The 17,660-nt window shown below is 38.6% G+C and overlaps 1 long non-coding RNA gene and 1 other non-coding gene across 2 annotated transcripts in view; both read left to right on the forward strand.

Moving 5' to 3' along the window:
- Positions 1-17,660, forward strand: part of LINC01630 (long intergenic non-protein coding RNA 1630) — a 170,428-nt gene that overhangs the window by 138,211 nt on the left and 14,557 nt on the right. The window lies entirely within an intron of this gene.
- LOC124904365 (small nucleolar RNA U13) lies at positions 16,095-16,196 on the forward strand. Its single transcript, XR_007066483.1, has one exon. It is a non-coding gene; the product is annotated as a small nucleolar RNA U13 (small nucleolar RNA).

Here is a 17,660-nt window from a genome sequence, read left to right on the forward strand (position 1 = left end):
TCTTTTCATTGGAAAGCTCTTCTAGCAATGGGAATTTCTTCATTCTCCAAGCACCTTTGAAGTGTTCAAAATTAGAGTTGCCTTTCTCAACAATTTTCATTTCTGATTTCAGTGTTCATGGATGCCTTTGAAATTTGCCAATAGTAAGTAACAGAAGAATGACTCTTTGGCAACATTTCCTTTCTCTCCTTTGTTTTTCTTTTTCCTTTTATTAATTTCAACTAAATTATTGATAGTTTGTCAATTTATAAATGTTCCTGATTCCTTGAGCGTGCATTATGTCTAAGACATTTGCCTCCAAAATATTTTTATTTGTCAGTGTGAAAGAGCTTTCTCAAATGATAGCCTGTATTTTTGATATTTTAATTTAACTTTTCATTTTTCTTTTTCTGGAAACCAAGGGATAATTTAACTTTTCAGATAATTCTTCCATGCCTCTGTGTCAGTGCTTGCAATTTCCCCAATAATTACAATAGCTAACATTTCTGTAGCACTACTATACACCAGGTTCTGGTCTAAGTGTTATTGCAATTCTCACAAACCCTAAGATAGTATCCCCACATTACAGATAAGACAACTGAGGCACAGAGAGGTTAAAAAAATCTTACTCAATGTCATAAGAAAGCTGGAATTCAAACCAGGAAGTCTAGTTCCAGATTCCATGCTCCTAACCACCACATCTTTTTTTTTTTTTTTTTTTTTTTTTTTTTTTTTTTTTTTTTTTTTTTTTTGAGACAGGTCTCACCCTGTTACCCAGACTGGAGTGCAGTGGCGTAATCATAGCTCACTGCAACCTCCACATCCCAGGCTCAAGCAATCCTCCTTCCTCAGCCTCCCGAGTAGCTGGGACCACAGGCACATGCTATCATCCCAGGCAAATTTTTATATTTTTGGTAGAGAAAGAGTTTCACTATGTTGCTCAGACTAGTCTTGAACTCCTGAGCTCAAGCGATCCACCCACCTCAGCCTCCCAAAGTGCTAGAAGTACAAGGATAAGCCACCATGCCCAGCAGCTGTTTAATTTTTTTATCAATCAGTTTTCTTTTCTTTTCTTTTTTTTTTTGAGACGGAGTCTCGCTCTGTCGCCCAGGCTGGAGTGCAGTGGCACAATCTTGGCTCACTGCAACCTTTGCCTACTGGGTTCAAGCAATTCTCTGCCTCAGCCTCCCGAGTAGCTGGCACTAGAGGTGCCCACCACCACGCCTGGTTAATTTTTTGTATTTTTTGTAGAGATGAGGTTTCACCGTATTAGCCAGGATGGTCTCGATTTCCTGACCTCGTGATCTGCCTGCCTCAGCCTCCCTATCAATCAGTTTTCTATCTGAAGAAACACATCTACCTATTGCTTACAATAAAAACTTTTCTGTTGCGTATCTTCCAACATGCCATCTGGATGCATCATCTGGATGAGATGCATACCTTTGCCAACATTTTCGCCAGGTATTAGATTTGCTCTACCTGATCCTACAGTCATGCGAGCATAACTAGTCTAGCCTGCTAGACCAGTTTGGGAGTACAGTTACAGTCTGCTTTATTTTTTAAAAAATAACTAATTAAATTAATTTTTTCAGTGCATGTGTAATACACTTACATGATTCAAAAATCTAAAAATATGAAAAGATGATACAGTGTGAAATATCTTCCTCCTGCATCCTTCACCTAGTCTACAGATTCTCTCCCCCATGCAAGCAACCTTATCATTTTCTTAAAGACTACATTAAATATGTATATTAAAATTATTTTGAATATTAAACTTTATTTTGCACTTAACTTCATGTTGGGCACTATGCTAAACACTTTTCATTTAATCTTTCCAGCAATTTAGTGAGGTGAGTTTTACTGTTATCCCTGTTTTTCAGATGAAAAAACTGAGGTATAGGATGATACAACTGGGCCAGGCATGGTGGCTCACATCTGTAATACCAGCACTTTGGGAGGCCAAGGGAGGAGGATCACTTGAACCCAGGTGTTTGAGACCAGCCTGAGAAAAACAGGAAGAACTCATCTCTACAAAAAAATTATCTAGTAAGAAATTAGCCGGGTGTGGTGGTGCACTTGTATGGTCCCAGCTACTTGGGAGGCTGAGGTGGGAGGATTACTTAAGCCTGGGAAGTCGAGGCTGCACTGAACTGTGACTCCAGCCTGGGTCATATTTTGGTTCTGGGGTGTCCAGCTCCAGAGTTCATGCTCTTACCTACTACTGTATACTGTTTCTCCATGCTGAATCTTTTTATGAGAAATATATAAAATAAGTGGATTCTTTAAAGTTTGTATAGCCCCACAGGAAAATGTTATCTCCATTTCCTAGAGAAAATAAGAACGTACTTGTATATTTCTTTTGTAAACATCATTATTGAGATATAATTTATATTCCATAAAAGTTATCCCTTTAAAATGTATAATTTAATGGCTTATAGTATATTCACACAGTTGCAGAGCCATCACTATGATCTAAGTTCGGAATATTTTCATCATGCCCAAAGAAGCCCTGTCAATTCTTCTGTCAACTCCCTAACCTTCCCCTGCCCACCCTAGACAGCCACTCTGTCTCTATAGATTTACTTATTTTGGATTTTTCACATTAATGGAATCATATAATATATAGCCTTTGTACTGAGTTATTTCACTTAGTATAATGTTTTCACAGTTTATATTGTAACATATATCTGTACTTCTTTCCTTTTTGTGGCTGAATAATATTCCACTGTATGAATAGACAGCATTTGGCTAACTATTCATCAGTTGATGGATATTTGTGTTATTTCCACTTTGGGTTATTGTGAATAATACTTTTATGAATGTTTCTGTACAGGTTTTTGTATAAATATGTTTTCATTTTTCTTGGGAGGAGTGGAATTGCTGGATCACATGGTAACTTTATGTTTAAACTTTTAAGAAATTTCCAGACTGTTTTTTATAGTGGCTGCACCATTTGACACTTCCGTTAGCAGTATGTGAGGGTTCCAATTTCTCCACATACTTGCCAACACTTGTTATTACCCATCTTTTTTATTATAGCCATTCTAGTGAGTGTGAAGTGGTATCTTACGTGGTTTTGATTTGCATTGATTAATGAGATTGAGTGTATTCTTACATGTTTATTGGCCATTTGTGTATCTTCTTTGGAGAAATGTCTATTAAAATCCTTTACCCCTTTAAGGCCAGGCATGGTGGCTCACACCTGTAATCCCAGCACTTTGGGAGGCCAAGGTGGGTAGATCACGAGGTCAGGAGATCGAGACCATCCTGGCTAACACGGTGAAACTCCATCTCTACTAAAAATACAAAAAATTAGTTGGGTGTGGTGGCTCACGCCTGTAATCCCAGCACTTTAGGAGGCCAAGGTGGGTGGATCATGAGGTCAGGAGATCGAGACCATCCTGGCTAACACAGTGAAATCCCGTCTCTACTAAAAATACAAAAAATAGCTGGGTGTGGTGGTAGGCGCCTGTAGTCCCAGCTACTCGGGAGGCTGAGGCAAGAGAATGGCGTGAACCTGGGAGGTGGAGCTTGTAGTGGGCAGAGATCGCTCCACTGCACTCCAGCCAGGGTGACAGAGTGAGACTCCATCTCAAAAAAAAAAAAAAAAAATTCCTTTACCCCTTTAAAAACTGAATTGTCTTTTTATTGGTGACTTTACGATAGTTTTTAGAATACACTCTGGATACCAGATTCTTTATTGTAAACAATATTTGCAGATATTTTCTATCATTCTGCAGGTTGTCTTTTCATTTTCTTGGTGGTGTCCTCTGAAGGATAAAAATTCTAAATTCTTATAAAGTCAAATTTGTCCTTTTCAAGAAACTCTTGTTTCTTGTGCTTTTGGTGTTACATCTAAGAAACCACTGTCCTATACAAGACCACAAAGATTTGCACCTATGTATGTGTGATGGTTAATACTGAGTGTCAACTTGATTGGATTGAAGGATACAAACTATTGATCCTGGGTGTGTCTGTGAGGGTGTTGCCAAAAGAGATTAACATTTGAGTCACTGGGCTGGGGAAGGCGGATCTACCTTTAATCTGGTGGGCACAATCTAATCAGCTGCCAGGGAATATAAAGCAGTCAGAAAAACATGAAAATGAGAGACTGGCCTAGGCTCCCAGCCTACATCTTTCTCCAGGGCTGGATGCTTCCTGCCCTCCAACAAGGGACTCCAAGTTCTTCAGTTCTGAGACTCAGACTGGCTCTTGTTGCTCCTCAGCTTGCAGATAGCCTATGGTGGGACCTTGTGATTGTGTAAGTTAATACTTAATAAACTTCCCTTTATATATATATCTCATATATATGTGCACATAAAATGCAAAAAATCAAGAAGTTTGAAAAACAAAATGCAGGTGAGGATGCAGATTGATGGGGAGACTCATGCTTTTTACAGTAGAGTGTTAGTTGATACAACTATTATATATATCATATATATGATATAACTATATCATATATATGATATATATATGTAAAGGGAAGTTTATTAAGTATTTTATATATATATATCTCCTACTAGTTTCGTCTCTCTAGAGAACCCTAATACAGCATTCTTCTATGAGTTTTATATTTTAGCTCTTACATTTAGGACTATGATCAACTTTTATGTGCTGGGATTACAGGCATGAGCCACCGTGCCTGGCCTGGAATTGCTTCTTAATTTCATTAGAAACACAATTATTTTGAATTAAAAATTAGTTCATTTTTGTGTATGGAAGTGGTACACATTTTTTTTTTTGTATATGAATATCCAGTTTTCTCAGAACCATTTGTGGAAAAGACTATTCCTTCTCCATTAAATGGTCTTGGTATCATGGTAGAAAAACAATTGTGCATAAATGTATGGGTTCATTTCTGAATTCTCAATTATACTCTATATGTCTATCATTATGCCAGTAGCACACTACTGTCTTGATTATTTCAGCTGTGTAGTAAGTTTTGTAGTAAATCAGAAAGTGTGAATCCTTCAGCTTCATTTTTCTTCAATATTGTTTTGGCTATACTGGGTCTCTTGCATTTCTATGTGAATTTCAGGATTAGCTTGTCAGTTTCTTCCAAAAGGCAGCTCGGGTTTTGATTAGGATTGCATTGAAACTGTAGATCAGTTTGGGGAATATTGCCATTTTAACAACATGAATTCTTTAAATCGATGAATTTGGGACGATTTTCTATGTTTTTAGATCTTCTTTAATTTCTTTCAACAATGTTTTGTAGTTTTCAAAGCGTATGTTTTGTATTTTTTTTTGTTAACTTTATTCCTAAGTATTTCATTATTTTGGATGCTATTGTAAATGCAATTATTTCTTTTTTTTTTTTTTTTTTTTTTTTTGGCAGAGTTTCACTCTTGTCGCCCAGGCTGGAGTGCAATGGCTCTATCTCGGCTCACTGCAACCTCCACCTCCCAGGTTCAAGCGATTCTCCTGCCTCAGTCTCCTGAGTAGCTGAGATTACAGGTGCCCGCCACCACGCCTGGCTAATTTTTGTACGTTCAGTAGAGATGAGGTTTCACCATATTGCCCAGGGTGCTCTCCAACTCCTGAGCTAAGGTGATCCACCGGCCTCAGCCTCCCAAAGTGCTGGGATTGCAGGCATGAGCCACTGTGCCCGGCCTGGAATTGCTTCTTAATTTCATTAGAAACACAATTACTTTGAATTAATTTTTGAATTTATTGAATTTATATTGAATTAAATGTTCAATTCCTGACATGACCTTTTAACAGGCAGTTAATGTTTTCATTCTATGGACTTTCCTTCATTTCCAATTTTCTAATCAGTTGAAATTCTGGTGTGATAAATGTAGAAACAGGTCAGCCCTGATGGTGCTTTTGCAGGTGCTCTATATCTTATCTGAAGGTTAGCCTTGCAGGTTACAATGGACTCTTATAGACCCTGGAACAATGCTTGTGCTTACCCAGGTTCTGCTTGTAGTGCCACAGGCTTGATTGCTGGAGCCTTTTCATTGTTGTTTGAATTTGCATGTTCAGCCATTGCATTTTCAAAGCAGGAATTATGGTGCCAGGCAATCAAGTTTAGAGGTGCTTCTAGCTCCAGCCTGGACCAGAACTCTTAAGATTCCTGTGCTGGAACTGGACATCAGCTCAGTCCCAGTGGTGAGTTTACTTTTAATATCCTTTAGGTCTCCTTGGCCAGCAGAACTTGGGTCAGCCAATCCTGATCTACTCTGTTTTTCTTAACTTTGAATTTTGGGGAGCAAGTGTTGAGGTCTTTGTTCCTGCCTTCTTAAAAAGCCTAAAGAAAAATCATTAAACTTGGTGTAACTTCTCCTGCCACAAGTTACACACTGCAAGGGCCTGCCTTTGTCAGAACATTAAAAAAAAATCTGTTACAGACATTTCTGGAGCAGTGAGTATCTATTAGATAAGAGAGGCCCTTGAAAATTATATTTTGACTAAGGAAGCCCCTTTCCAAGGTGACTTGCTCTATTCAACTAGACAAAGAAGTGGAGCATGGCTTTGGCACCCCCCATCACACAATGTAAGGTCTTCCATGTGATAAATCATTCCATTTTATTTTTAAAAATACCATTGCATTGGCTCAGTGCTCTTCAGAGTCTCCAGAGATGTTTCCTTGAACTTCAGAGTTGTGCTTGTGTTTGTGAGTGTGACAAGTGGACTTGGAAGTTTGCTCATTCACATTCATTTCTCTTACTGTTAAAACTCTCATGTTTCCTTTTCAAAGAGATGGATTATCTCACCTTTTTTTTAAGTAGTTTTGGTACTCTATGCATTCCATCACATCTTTTTCTTAGACACAATGAAGAGCAGGGCATTTAAAAGTTTACAGAAAACATGCTAAAATAAAATGTAGAGCAGCTTGAAAGAGATTCACTTACTCTAAGTGTACCTGTAGACCATGGTAGCTGAGTTATTGTCATATGATACTCGGTAAGCATATCAGGCTGGCAATCAAAATGCTGAAGCATTGCTTGCAGAAATTAATAGTCCTCAGTATGGGGTTTGGTCTTTACAGTAATGTCAAAGTAGGAAGGATTGTAAGTTCAGCAGCAGGCTTAAAGCCAGGGTCACCTGTATTAGAATTATATGAAGTATATTTGTAATTGAGAAAGGTTTATTGTACTAATTTTACTAAGATTTATCCTTCCAGTTACCTGCAATGTGCATTTCCTTCTATTAATGGCTCTCAGCCAGTCTACTGGAGCAAAAACAAACCAACTGATTGGCATTGTAAGAAATTACTTATTTTTTCTTTAGGAGGAGAGTAGATATTCTGCATGTCTGATTTATGATTATTTATCATGAAAGATTACTGACTATAATAGCCCTAAACAAGCCTCTATTTTCTGGGTAAGACGTAGAAGGAACTAAATAGCAGACATGGCAGAGAGTTCACTAGGAAGCACTTCAACGGATGGACTTCTTCTGCCAGGGCTTCATTTGCATATGGGAGGGCACGGACTAGCAGGATGCAGATCAAGCCCTGTTTTGCCTGCGTCTGAGCTCCTCCTTCCGGCCAGCTGCTGCGCTAGGCACTTAACATACATTGAAAAAGAAAACTAAAAGCCACATTTTTCTTTCTTTTAAAAACTGTATATATTTAAAGCATACAATATGATGTTTTGATATACATATACATAGTGAAGTGATTGCCCTATTTTCCTATTCACAATTTTTCTAGGTCATAATTATGGCTGAACTATTGCTACAAATCTCAATAGATTTAAAGAAAGTAGAAGAGGAAAAGGAAAACTATTAACCCAAGTGACTATGGGAATACAAAGCATCGGGCTAGTTCATTACCTTTTGTCTTAAAGATAAGAGAGGAGGTTAAAGAATATTAACAAACTGATGAACATAAAATGGCAAACAAGAAAGAACATTAGCCAGGGGGAACACATGTCCCTTTAAAATTATACCTATATATATTCTGAATTATTAAATTTAAATTATCACTACTTTATCTGCTATTTTATTGCTGAAATTTCTCACAACTTCATTTGCGAATAAACTCTCCTGTGATGGTCTGCCATTTACATAAGCATATTTATTGGTATCTCCTACGGAGTATAATCTTAACCACAAGGCTATGAATACAGTAAAACTTTACATTTTTGTGAGATACTTTATTTATTCAATTTAAGCTCAAGAAGTAGATGCAATTTATTAGAAAATGTTACAGAAAAGGAATTAATTCACCTCAATTCCAATGCACATACTGGGATGAATAACTCACTGTTATGACATAGTCAACTTTATTCTACCACCTTAATATATAAGGGACAATGGCTGGGCTCAGTGGCTCACGTCTATAATCCCAGCACTTTGGGAGACCGAGGCGGGTGCATCACTTGAGGTCAAGAGTTCAAGACCAGCCTGGCCAACATGGTGAAACCCCATCTCTACTAAAAATACAAAAAGTTTGCTGGGCTTGGTGGCAGGCACCTGTAATCCTGACTACTCTTGAGGCTGTAATCTCAGCTACTGTGAAGCGGGAGAATCGTTTGAACCCGGGAGGCGGAGGTTGCAGTGACCTGAGATTGTGCTACTGCACTCCAGCCTGGGTGACAGAGTGAGACCCTGTCTCTCTCAAAAAAAAAAAAAAAAAAAAAAAAAAAAAAAAAAAAATACACACACACACACACACGCGCGCGCATATATATATATATATATATCTTGATCACCAAGCCCACTGCAAACTGCTGCTGTTCATTTTCTCACTTTCTCTTGCCTGGACTATTGTAGATTTTCTCACTGACTTTTCTACTCCTAACCTTCCTTTTATATTTGTCCAAAGACTAATCTTTCTCACAATCAGAACCCCTCATATTTTCCCCTTTCTTAAAACCCTTCAATGACTTTATCCTTGCTTTTAGAATGAAGCACCAGCTCCTTAGGGTATTGTACAAAGTTCTTCACAGCCTTTAATCTCAGATCTCTCTCCCTTGCCATACACATCTTACTATCCAGACACATCTAAAATACTTGCAGATCTCTGGATGCATTATGATATTTAACATCTTCATGCCTTTCTTCATGTTTCAACTGTTTTTTTGTTTTGTTTTGTTTTGTTTTTGAGACTGAGTCTTGCCCTGTCACCCAGGCTAGAGTGCAGTGGTGCGATCTCTGCTCACCACAGCCTCTGCCTCCTGGGTTCATGTAATTCTCCTGCCTCAGCCTCCCAAGAAACTGGGATGACAGGTGTATGCCACCATGCCAGGCTAATTTTTGTATTTTTAGTAGAGATGGGGTCTCGCCATATTGGCCAGGCTGGTCTCAAACTCCTGGCCTCAAGCGATCTGCCTGCCTCAGCCTCTCAAAGTGCTGGGATTACAGGCATGAGCCACGGCACCCAGCTGACATTTCATCTTCTTTATGGAATTCCTCTGGACTGACCATTGCCTGGACACTTCTCCACTCTGGGGTTTACCACTACCACGACAGGCTACTAAAGTGGGTATCTGTTTTTGTCTGTCTGGCACCCTTCCACTTCCTTTAGGATGCTGATCCACTACAATAATGGAACCTGATAATGCTGCCAGTCATAGCATCTGTTTTATTGATCGCAGGGGTGGGTATATGACCATGGATATAGGTAATCATGGAGCCTTCTCAGACATAATGATTGACCCAGAATTGGGTATGTGGCCTAAGCCAGGCTAATCTACGTCTTCCCTGGGATTGGATGCAAACTAGAGACTTTTCCTTGGATCAATAACTTTATAAATGTCACCCCAGAACCTCTTTTGCCCATTTCTAGACACATGGAGGAGGCTGAAGAATAAAGTTGATGTTGAGAATGAGAAAGAAATGAGAGGTGGGGGAAAAAAAAAAGAAATGAGAGGTGGAGAGAGAGGCCTGGTGTCATTGAATCTCTGAGATCTACTCTTATTAGCCAGTAGATCTTGGTAAAGCTAATTAATTTCCTTAAGTTTCATATTTTTAATCTATAAAATGGGTAAAATAAATGTAATACTAGCTACCTGATAGGGTTCTTATAAAGGTTATGCAAAATAACACATATGAAGTGCTTGGTACACTGCTTAGCATAGAGTAAATGCTCAATAAATGTTAGTAGTGACTGTTGTTATAACTAAGTTGGGAGAGAGTGTCCTCTTTCTTGTTAGTAGTGAAGCAGGGCTTCCCAGTCGGTATTTAGGCCTATTTATCGCTGACTATGGGCTAATTTTGGGACCATTTCTTTTTCCCCAGTATCTTCTTGGCCCATCGATCAGGCTAGTAACCATTTTAACATGACTCACCTTATTCACCTTTACTTCAGTAGCTTTAGACATTTAAATAAATTAAATGTTAGTAAAAATATTTGGAGAACATTTGTATTTAATTGTAATGATGTTAAAGTATTTAAACTACTACAGTGCATGCAGAGATGGATCAGTGAAAATGCTTTGTCCATTACTGGAAATCTAATACATGGCAACGCAAAATAATTTTGATGGTCTCAAGCACTAAATTACTAAGTGGGTATATTATAGTGAAGATATATGTAACAAGGGCATTCTATACCAGTTCAGCCCACTCAGCAAAATTGCTCCAAGAAGTTGCAATATTTGTGTCTTATTAAAAGACTGACTTCATATTTTTATGGGAAATTGATAAACATTCTTTCTTGGTGCCCTCTTAAGATCCATATGAATTGTATAATGTTTTAAAGTGGGTGGTCAGTAACCTCATTTCATTTCTCTCTTCTGTGTCTCTGACCCAGCTCTTAAAAAAATGCAGCATCAGCATCTCTCTTCTCTTTTCCTTTAGCTTGTCTCAGATTTAAGCAAAATTCCCCCCAAAATCCATTTGTGAAGTAGGGCATGGGGATACATTAATGATTTCTGCTATTCATTTTAAATTTTGGCCTGAGATTGACCTGTTTAGCCTGCCTCCAGGAACACCATCATTGGAAAACATTTAAGAGCAGTCTTGATGATGGAAAAGTAATAGAAGACTCCTATACAATATGAGAGAGCCTGGGTCCTGGTCTTGTTTCTACCATTTGCTGTGTGACCTGGGGTAAGTCCCTCTCCTTTCTGGGTGTCATTTTCCTCATCTATAAAATGAGAAGGCTTTAGTAGATGCTATCTAATATCCATAACATGGGTGCAATTTATGGCCTAAAGGTGACTTCAATATTTCAGAGTCAATATGAATCTGAATTGCTCACCCTTTTCTGTGTTTAACTCATCAGAAGGCTTGACTGGGGCTGAAGGATCTACTTTCAATCTCACTCATATGGTTTTTGGCAGGTCTCAGTTTCTTTCTAGCTGTTGGCTGGAGACTTCAGTTCCTTATCACATTGGCCTGTCATAGGAGAGAGAGAGAGGGAGAGAGAGAGAGAGAGAGAGAGAGGTGTGTTAGAGAGAGAGAATGAACATGAGATCTTAAGACTGAAGTCATTGACTTTTTATAACCTAGTATTGGAAGTGACAAAGCATTACTTCAGCTGATTGCTATTGGTCACACTGGCCAATCCTGGTACAATGTGGGAGGCAGGGGTCACTGGGGGCTATTTTGAAGGCTTGATATCACACTGTGAGCCTTTAGATATCTAACTTCTTTCAGCCTCACCTTCCCTTCTACTTAATGGGAACAAAATTACTGTCTAGAGATGCTGACTTCATAGGGTTTTACTGAGGATCTAGTGAAATGATAGATGAAAAAACCCTTTACAACTATAAAATACGTTGGGTGAAAAATTTGATGTCATAGATCTGGAGGGGAGATCTGAAAGTCAAAGAGAGGGAAGAATTACAGTCTTATAAAGGGAGAAACATGGGTTCTCTTAGGTCACAAACCCTTTCCCCCACCACACACTTCTAAGCTCCCCTAGGGCTTGACTAATTGAGACCATATGGAGTTTGGGGTTAGTTTGTTTATTTATTTACTTATTTTTTGCATAATAAGCTTTTTGTTTCCAAGAAAAATAACTGAAAAAATGAGTTTCAATACAAGGTTTGAAAAGTTTGGAGACATTAACTTGTTCTCACCATACAACTTGTTAACTGGTCAATTGTCCATGAATTAAAATAATATGGATTCAATTTTACTGAAGTGATAGCTTGGAAAAACATTTTGGGTTGCACTGAATTTAAGGACATTGAATGGTGCAATCTAAGAAAAATTGCCTTCTGTCCTGAGCTCACATAACCTATTGAGGTCAGCATCAAGGACCATCTACAGGCAAAATGTTCCTGTCTACACACTGGCTGGTCTCATTTCTCATTTGCACATATTGAGCCACCTCTTGACAGCTGTTGCTACACCAATAGGATTTATAATGGAGATGAGAACCCAATGCTGAGAGTGTAATGTCTGAGGTCCTCTGTTGAGCCTGCAACACATCCCTCTGTGTTACAGCAGAAGGACCCCATCCCCTCCCTGCATGAACGGATATATGGCGGAAGGACCCCATCCCCTCCCTGCAGGCACAGATAGACTATAGCTGTATATAGAACAGTGGTGGGGTTGGTCGAATGCCATAAGACACACATGCTTAAGCAGAACAAAGGGGTACACATTGAGTCTGAAACAGGGCAAAGCATTCCCACACAAGGTGATAAGTCCAGTGCAGCCTGTGAGGACTCCTTTTCTCTTTGTAAGGAAGTGTTTTAGGCCCAAGTCCAGTTCTTGCACAGCCCAGAGGAGGTTGAAATGCTGTGCACATAAGACTGCTTTTCCCAACGACTTTATTTCGTCAGACCAGCTTCCTTAAAGCAGGACACATATGCATGGGAAACCCTGGGCTCCGATCCTTACCGCAGAAAATGGGGACTCTGTCCCAGGTTCATTTGAAAAGCACAGAAGGACGGTGATTGATATTGCTTGTTATAAACATCCACCCGTGGTCCTTGTGCTTTAAAGAAGGCAGTCTCATACTGGTGGCTTGACTCTCATCTCTTTTTTTTTTTTTCGAGACAGGGGCTAGCTCTGTCACCCAGACCACAGCGCAGTGGAATGATCATAGTTCACTGCAGCCTCAGCCTACTGGGCTCAAACGATCCTCCTGCATCAGCATCCTCAGTAGCTTGGACTACAGGTGCATGCCACCACACCCAGCTAATTTTTAAATTTTTAGTAGAGACGAGGTCTTGCTATGTTGCCCAGGCTGGTCCTGAAATCCTGGACCCAAGTGATTCTCCTGCCTCAGTCTCTCACAGTGCTGAGATTACGGGAATGAGCCACCATGGCTGGTGACCCTAGTCTCTTGTAGAAGTGACTCATCCTATTCCTATGAGAGAGTAGAGGAAGATAATTATGAATGAAGTGTTACATCAAAAGTGGATCATAGAGGTCCCTGAATATCAGGTAAAAATGTTAGATTTTTTCAGGAGACACAGAACCATGTGAGATATTTGAAAAGGGAAGTGACATGATCAGAGCTGAGTTTAGGAAGATTAGTTTGATAAGACTGAACAGAAAGTAGAAGGGATGGGTAATGGTGAAGTAGGTAATTTTGCTAAAATATCCACTCTGTTCAAACAACTAAAATAGCTGGAAAATCTAAAAATCATTTTATGTGTCAGAGAATGAAAAAGGTAGTCAGGAACTATGGGCTAAGATCTCGGTGGAGATGAGAAACTAGAGAGATGAGATCATCATCCAAGACTACTTTGTTCTTGAGCATTTACTGAACTTGAAAAGATATATTCTGTCAGTTGTTTTTCCTCTTGGCTCTCAGCTCCATTTCATCTCTTTGCTTTGTATCTCAGGGCAACAAGCCTGAAAACTACTTTTCCCAGACTTTCTTGCCAGCTGAGATCTAGTTAGGTTCTGGCAATGGGAAACACTAGAGGAAGACTGAAAATGGAAGAAAGGGATGAGAATATAACAGTGAACCCAGACTGAGAAAGTAACAATCTGTCCTGCCATTCAACAGGCTAGGGCAACAGCCACAGATAAAGCCTTGATAGGTCCTGGATTCTTAATGTTTTTCTCTCTAGTTCCAGAAAGCTGCCAAAGTGTAAAGTTAATGGGAAACAATATTTCTCTAAGGCCATGCTGCAGTTGTATAGTGTCATAATATCTTCTTTAAATCACCACTGCTTTCCTACTCATTGGAAAATACCTTTTCCAAAAATCATTTGTGGTTTGAAATTATATCTATAAGAATAAAACACATCTCAGTTTTGCCTGAAGGATCTGAGCCTCTTTGATATAGAGAAGCAAACTTGATATCCAATCTGTATGCTGAGTTTCAGATAAGTGATTTCTAGACACAACATACCACATGTATCTTAACTTTTTAGTTTCGAAGGAAACAGGACTCTGATCCACTTTGCAGTCCAGATATGATATTGACCCTTTACACACAGCCTTGTTTTGCTTTGAGCCTATTCAAACACTGCTTCACTTTAATTTCATCTAAACTGTACACTTCTCCCAAATCCTGTAATAACGCTGTCTTTCCTGGTGTTTGGTGAGATGCTCCATGGTTCCTCTGGTGTTTCCCTCGTTGCAACAGACGAATAAATCTGTCTTTTTCGAACTATAGCGTTGCCCCCGTGGTCTTAAGTTGATTGGACGAGGAGAGAAAAAAGCCATTTTTCCACTTCTGACAGTGACTTATTGTAGGCTCCAACAACTTTGGTGTTGGTTTCTGCAGCATTGATGGGGTTAACTCCTGAGCTTCTTAGAAGCGGTAGGTCATTTTCAGTAGCAGTGCCAGGAGCAGTGGCAATCGTGTGGGCTGGTGGACTACAACCCAGGGGTTAAGGTGACTTCTTGATCTCTGGGTGATATTTCCTTTCCCTTTCACTTCTCCAGTTCTTGCAACATTTTTACTACCAATTCTCTGATTATAAACAACTAAATCCTTCTCTGCTAGAAATATAGGGTGGTTTCATTTTTCTCAATGGTCACTAGCTGATACAGTATCTAAGGTTCTGAGCTGCACTTTGGCAGCTTTCTGAGACTAGAGTGAAAAACAATAAGAATTCAGAACCTGGCCGGGCGCGGTGGCTCAGGCCTGTAATTCCAGCACTTTGGGAGGCCGAGGCGGGCGGATCACGAGGTCAAGAGATTGAGACCATCCTGGCCAACATGGTGAAACCCCGTCTCTACTAAAAATACAAAAATTATCTGGGCGTGATGGTAGCCGCCTGTAGTCCCACCTACTTGGGAGGCTGAGGCAGGAGAATGGCGTGAACCCGGGAGGCGGAGCTTGCAGTGAGCCGAGATCACACCACTATACTCCAGCCTGGCGACAGAGCGAGACTCCGTCTCAAAAAATGAAAAAAAGAAAAAGAAAAAAAAAAAAAAAAGAATTCAGAACCCATCAAGGATTTCACCCTGGTAAGTAGGAGTTAATCAGGAATAAAACAGCTCCCACAACTGAGCTTCCAGTCCTCCGGGTAGATCACAAAACCCCAAGCCTTGAAATTGGATTAAGATGGTCCTGGTCGACTTAAGCCCTCTAGGCTTCTTAAATTAATCAGTTTTGGAAAATTCTCTATCTTCTCAAATATTGCTTTTGCTTCTCTTTTGGGAATAACAATTAATTGCGCGCTGCATATTCTCATTGCATGTTCTATGTCTTTTACCTACTTCTCTGTATTTTCCATCTTTTTGTCTGCTGTCCATACTTCATCTTGATAGATTCTTTTAACCTAATTTTTAGTTTAATAATTCTGCTGTATCTAATTTGGGATTAAAGCCATCCATTGAATTCTTAACTTTTGTTATTGCCTTTTTCCCCAATTCTAGAACTTCCAGGTTTTTTTTCAAGTTTGTTACCACTTTTTATAGTTGCTAGTTTCTTTGCTTTTGAATTTTTAAAAATTTGGCTTTATCGCGTTTTAAATTTCTATACTTTTAATAATATGCTTAAAATACATAAATCAAAAATTGATAGAACTACAAAGAGAAATAGACAAGTCTGCAATTATAGTGGGATATGATGAAATACCTCTGTCAGTAATTGATAGAAGCAGCAGACAAAAATTATTAATAATGTGGAAAATTTGAACAGCATGACTAACAAAACTACTTAATGTCCATATATAGAGGTCTGCAGTCAACAACCATAGAATGCATATTATTTTTCAAGCTCACACGGAGTATGAAGATGTTGGTTCTTCCAAATGCATATGAAGATTCAGTGCAATCCCAGTCAAACTACCAGGCAGATCCTTTTGTAGTTCGTAAGTGATGACTGGGTTTTCACCCTCATGCATGAGATGTGCCTCCCTCGAACCCTGTTATGATGTAGGCACGTTAACCATCTGACATGAAAACAAAACAAAATACCAGTCAGGTATTTTCCAGAACCTGACAAACTTATTCTAAAATTAACCTAAAAATACTAATATTAAAAGACTGAGAATAGTTAAGACACGCTTGAAGAAAAATGGATACTAAAATTAAAGACAGAATAATTAAGACACCTTTGAAGGAAAAAAAAAGCTTGAGAAAAATTGGCCTACTCACTATCAAGACTTGTAAATTTATAATGATTAAGATAGTGTGATATTGGCATGAAGACTGAAAAATAGACCAATGGAACAGGGGACATAAGCCAAGTACTTATTTATATGTGTATATTAGTATATAAGTATATATAAATATTGGGAAAAGGCTATCTTTTCAATAAATAACGCCAGGACAATTTGATATCCATAAAGGAAAAAATGAAATAGGATCCTTTTCTCACACTATATATAAAAGATAATTCTAGGCAGTCAGTAGACCTAAGTGTGAATGGCAAAGTGGAAAAGCTTTTCGAAGGTAATACAGGTGAATGCCTTCAAGACTTCAGAGTGTGGAAAAACAAGACTCAGAAAGCTCTAACTATAAAATAAAGGATTGATGTATTTGTTTTTAAGACAATATTAACTACTTTTATTTATATATTTTAGTAATTATTGATTTTCATTAATATTATTTTAATTGATAAATCACAATATACATTTATGGGGTACAATGTGATGTTTTGATACATGTATACAAAAAGGAATTACTAAATCAATCTAATTAGCATATCTAGCACCTCTGTTTTTGTGGTGAGACATTTGGAATTTACTGTCTTAGGTTTTTTGAAATGTATAATACATTATTATGTAATGTGCAATAGACCTCAAAAACTTATTCTTCCTGTTGAACTGAAACTTTGTACTCTTTGACCAATATCTCCCTATTCCCTCCCTACTTCCCTGCACCCCCCAGCCTCCAGTAACCATCATTCTATTTTCCACTTCTGTGAGTTTGGCTTTTTTAGATCCCACGTAAGTGAGATTGTACAGTGTCTGTCTTTCTGTGCCTACCTTAATTCACTTAACCTAATGTCTTCCAGGTTCATCCACATTGTTGAAAATGACAGGATTTACTTCTTTATAGGGTTGAGTAGCAATCCATTAGGTTATATACCACATTTCTTTATCCATTTATCTGTTGACAGATGCCTAGGTTGATTGCATATCTTGACTATTGTAAATAATGCTGCAATGAACATGGGAGTACAGGTAGCCCTTAGACATTGATTTAAGTTCCTTTGGATATATACCCAGCAGTGGGATGGCTGGATCATTTGGTTGTTCTATTTTAAGTTTTTTGAGGAACTTCCATACCATTTTACAGAATGGCTATAATAATTTATATCCAGCAATAGGGTACAAGGGTTTCCTTTTCTTCACATCCTTGCCAATGTTAATCTTTCCTCAGTTTGGTAAATAGCCATTCTCACAGGTGTGAGGTGA

Source organism: Homo sapiens, chromosome 18 (assembly GCF_000001405.40).
Source record: "Homo sapiens chromosome 18, GRCh38.p14 Primary Assembly".
In the NCBI taxonomy this organism is placed as follows: domain Eukaryota; kingdom Metazoa; phylum Chordata; class Mammalia; order Primates; family Hominidae; genus Homo; species Homo sapiens.